Source organism: Homo sapiens, chromosome 20 (assembly GCF_000001405.40).
Source record: "Homo sapiens chromosome 20, GRCh38.p14 Primary Assembly".
Classification (NCBI taxonomy): domain Eukaryota; kingdom Metazoa; phylum Chordata; class Mammalia; order Primates; family Hominidae; genus Homo; species Homo sapiens.
This window is the reverse complement of record NC_000020.11, coordinates 37,317,261-37,321,645: the sequence shown is the minus strand read 5'-3', so window position 1 is coordinate 37,321,645 and position 4,385 is coordinate 37,317,261. Positions and strand designations below refer to the sequence as shown.

The 4,385-nt window shown below is 47.1% G+C and overlaps 1 annotated feature.

Moving 5' to 3' along the window:
* Positions 1,775–2,472: an enhancer, noted in NCBI's record as "NANOG-H3K27ac-H3K4me1 hESC enhancer chr20:35947577-35948274 (GRCh37/hg19 assembly coordinates)". NCBI's record gives its function as "activates a minimal SCP1, AML or CMV promoter by ChIP-STARR-seq in naive H9 embryonic stem cells {active_cell/tissue: H9 hESC(naive)}" and the evidence as "EXISTENCE:reporter gene assay evidence [ECO:0000049][PMID:30033119]".

The window sequence follows — 4,385 nt, the reverse complement described above, 5'->3', positions numbered from 1 at the left end:
ATGAAAAGGCCATCTACAGAATGGAAGAAAATGTTTGCAAATCATATATATGATAGGGTATTAATATCCAAAATATATAAGAAACTCATACAACTCCATAGCAAAAAAACAACCCAACGAACCCAATTTTTTAAATGGTCAAAGGACCTAAATAGACAGTTTTCCAAAGAAAACATACTAATGGTCAGCAGGTCTATGGAAGGGTTATCAACATCACTAAATATGCAAATCAAAACCGGGAGATATCACCTCACACCTATTAGAGGGGCTATTATTTTAAAAACAAAAGGTAACTGTTGGCAAAGATGTTTAGAAATTGGAACCTGGTACTCTACTGGTGGGAATGTAAATTGGTACAGCCATTATAGAAAATGGTGTGGAGGCTCCTCAAAAAATAATAATAAAAAAAGAACTACCAAATGATCCAACAATCCCACTTCTGGGTATTTATCCAAAGGAAATTAAATCAGTATCTCAAAGAAATGCTACATTCCTATGTTTATTGCAGCATTATTCATAATAGATAAGATACAGAAACAACCTATATGTTCATCAACTGATGAATGGATAAAGGAAATGTGGTGTACATACAATGGAATATTATTAAGCCTTAACAAAAAAAAAAAAAGGAGGCCGGGCGTGGTGGCTCATGCCTGTAATCCCAGCACTTTGGGAGGCCGAGGTGGGCGGATCACGAGGTCAGGAGATCGAGACCATCTTGGCTAACACAGTGAAACCCCATCTCTACTAAAAATACAAAAAATTAGCCAGGCGTGGTGGTGGGAGCCTGTAGTCGCAGCTAATCGGGAGGCTGAGGTAAAAGAATGGCATGAACCTGGGAAGCGGAGCTTGCAGTGAGCCGAGATCGGGCCACTGCACTCCAGCCTGGGCGACAGAGCAAGACTCTGCCTCAAAAAAAACAAAAAAAAAACCACAAAACGGAAATCCAGGCTAGGCACAGTGGCTCACGCCTATAACCCCAGAGGCCGGGGCGGGCAGGTCACGATGTCAGGAGTTTGAGACCAGTCTGGCCAACATGGTGAAACCCTGTCTCTACTAAAAATACAAAAATTAGCCGGGCATGATGACGAGTGCCTGTAGTCCCAGATACTCAGGAGGCTGAGGCAGGAGAATCACTTGAACCCAGGAGGTGGAGGTTGCAGTGAGCCGAGATCGTACCACTGCACTCCAGCCTGGGTGACAGAGCGAGACTCCATCTCAAAAAAAAAAAAACAGAAAAGAAAAAAAAAAAAAAGAAATTCTGCCATTTGCAACAACATGAATGGACCTGTGAAATAAGCCAGACACAGAGCGAGAAATATTGCATGATCTCATTTATATGTAGAATCTAAAATAGTCAAACCTGCAAAATCAGAGAGTAGAATGGAGGTTGCTAAGGACTGGGAGTAGTGGGTGACGGGGAGCTGTTGGTTAAGGGGCACAAAGTTTCAGTTATGCAAGATGAAAGCGTGCTGGAGATCTAATGTATAGCACGGTGACTATAGACAATGATACTGTACTATAGTCATCCCTGGGTATCTGCCTGGGATTTGTTTCAGGACCCCCACAGACATCAAAATCCACACATATTCAAGTCTCGAGGTGGGCCCTGTGAAACCCACCTCTAGGAGAAGTTAGTCCTCCATATATGTGGATTTCGCATCCCACAAACACTATTTTTGATATGCCCTTGGTTGTAGATGTGGATGTGGATATGAAGGAATTGTATTTACTGAAAAAAAGCTGCGTATAAGTGGACCACACAGTTCAAACCCATGTTGCTCAAGGGTCAACCGTATATACTTGAAATTTTCTAAGATCCTAAGTGTTCTCACCCCCACGCCCCACCGCCCGACACACACACATATAACTATGTGAGGTGATGGATATTTTAATTAGCTTGATTGTGGTGATTATTTCACAACATATACGTATATCAAATCAGCAAGTTGTATATTTTAAATAGATACTTTGTTTTTCTTAAGATGCTCTTTAAGATAGGGAAGACCACGAAAAGAGCAGGCTTGGGGCTGCTGGTGAGATCAGGAATGTGCTTTGAGATGCCTGTTGTGTATTCAAATGGAGATAATGAGTAGGAAGTCAGATATGTGAGTCTGGAGCTCAGGAGTAGGGCTGGAGAGATCCGTCTGGGAGACATCAGCATGTGAGTGGTGTGATGGTTAATTTTATATGTCAACTTGACTAGGCCACAGGACGAGCAGGTATCTGATTAAATAGTATTTCTGGGTGTGTCTGTGTTCCGGAAGAGATTAGCATTTGAATCTGTGGACTGAGTAAAGCGGGTGGGCCTCATCCATTTAAGGGCCTGAACAGAACAAAAAGAGGAAGGTTGGACTCGCCCTCCCGCTGTCTGACTGCATGAGCTGGGACATTTGTCTTCTCTCAGCACTCCAGGTTCTCAGGCCTTCAGACTCAGACAGAATCTACACCATCGGCCCCTTACTGGCTTTCTTGGGTTTCCAGCTTGCAGGCAGCAGATCGTGGGACTTCTCGGCCTCCATAATCACTGGAGACAATATCTTGTAAGAAGTCTCGCTGGGTACGGTGGTTCATGCCTGTAATCCCAGCACTTTGGGAGGCCAAGGCAGGTGGATCACTTGTGGCCAGGAGTTCGAGACCAGCCTGGCCAACATGGCGAAACCCCATCTCTACTAAAAATACAAAAACTAGCTGTGCGTGGTGGCACATGCCTGTAATCCCAGCTACTTGGGAGGCTGAGGCAGGAGAATCGCTTGAACCCGGGAGGCGGAGGCTGCAGGGAGCTGAGATCGCGCCACTGCACTCCAACCTGGGTGACAGAGCAAGACTCCATCTCAAAAAATACAAACTTTTAAAGTCTCCTTCTATGTTTCTCTGGAAAATCCTAATACGGGTGGTATTTAAAGCCACGAGCCTAGATGAGATCTTCAAAGGAGTACGTGCAGAGAGGAAGTCTAGGGACTGGAGCTTCTGTGTAACAGAGGATAGAGGACTAAGGACTGAAGCCTGGGCCCCTCTCAAGAGGAGGAACCAGTAATGCAGGAGGGAAATCGGGAGAGGATGGGTCCCGAAAACCAAGAGAACCAAATGCTGCAAACTCTGCCCACAGTACATGTGGAAGAAGGGTTTGGTGGAGCAGAGGATGACAGCCCTTGCTTTCTGAGGGCCATTCTCTGGCCCAGCCTTTAAGGGAAAGAATTTAAGGAAGTTGGATCTATTGAGGTAGCACTGCTCCCGGGAGCCAGAAGCTGTCTCTCCTCCACAAGCTGAAACAGGTCTGCACTATAGGCCTGGCCCCTGCTCTCCCAGCCTCATTTCCCTGTGGTCTCAAGTCCTGCTGAGCCTTTAAGATTCAGCTCCATCACTTCCACTCTGCCAGGTGGCTGCACCGACCCCTCGAGATTGAGCTGGGTGCCCCTGGGAACACCTGCTGCTCCTCTGTTGGAGAAACTCCCCACATCAAACCTGCTTACATGTCTGCGTCTCCCACTCAGCCAGGTGCACTCTGGGTTTCCGGGAAGGTTCCTTATTTCTGCATCCTCAGTTCCTAGCATGGTGCCTGGCATTGAAGCTCTCGGTAAGTGTTATGAAACAGAAACAATCCGCAGAAGCTCCTTCTCAAGCCAGTATCTAGCCCTTCATTATGCACAATCCCCAGCCCCTGGACTTCCTCTCCTGAAACCTGAAGTGCTGGGAGATCTTGCCAAGCCCCTCTGCAGCAGAGCAGGACCCTCATAGCACTGTGCCTACCAACACTCGCTAAATACCTGTTAAATACCAAGGAATGTGCCGTGGGCTGGGTCTAAATCCCAGCTTGGACATTCTCAAAGTAGTCTGGACTTCAGTTTCCCATCTCCAAAACAGAGATGATAGTCGCTCATCTCTTAAGATCCTCATCAGTCCTGGCATTTGGGAAAGCTGTCTGGCAGGCTGTAAATGAGCTGGGCAAATCCGAGTTACCAAGAGGTCAGGGCTTTTCCTCAGCAGCTGATTCAGGGCAAGTGACTAGACCTGGCCAATGCCACGTAAGGCCTTTTACTGTATTGCACTTGGTTTTTCTCAAGCCACTTTGAAGACAAGCAGCATCTTCCTCAGAAGGAACCTGGGGAATGAGTGGGGCCTGGACCCAGTGGAAACTCTAACACACCCACGGCCATTCACAAGTGTTTCCAGTGACTAAGGGCCACACGAAGCACTTAGCCGGATCCTTCCTGAAAACTTCTTCCAGAATGGCTCAGCCTGCAGAACTGCTCTTACCGAAGCCATCCTATTCTGGCCATCCTCACCCCCACTGTCCCACTTCTCTGGGGGTCAAGCCTTTCCCTCATCCCCGGGGCAGGGCCCTAGGCTTCCCCTCTCCCTCAGCAAAAGACAACACAGGCAGG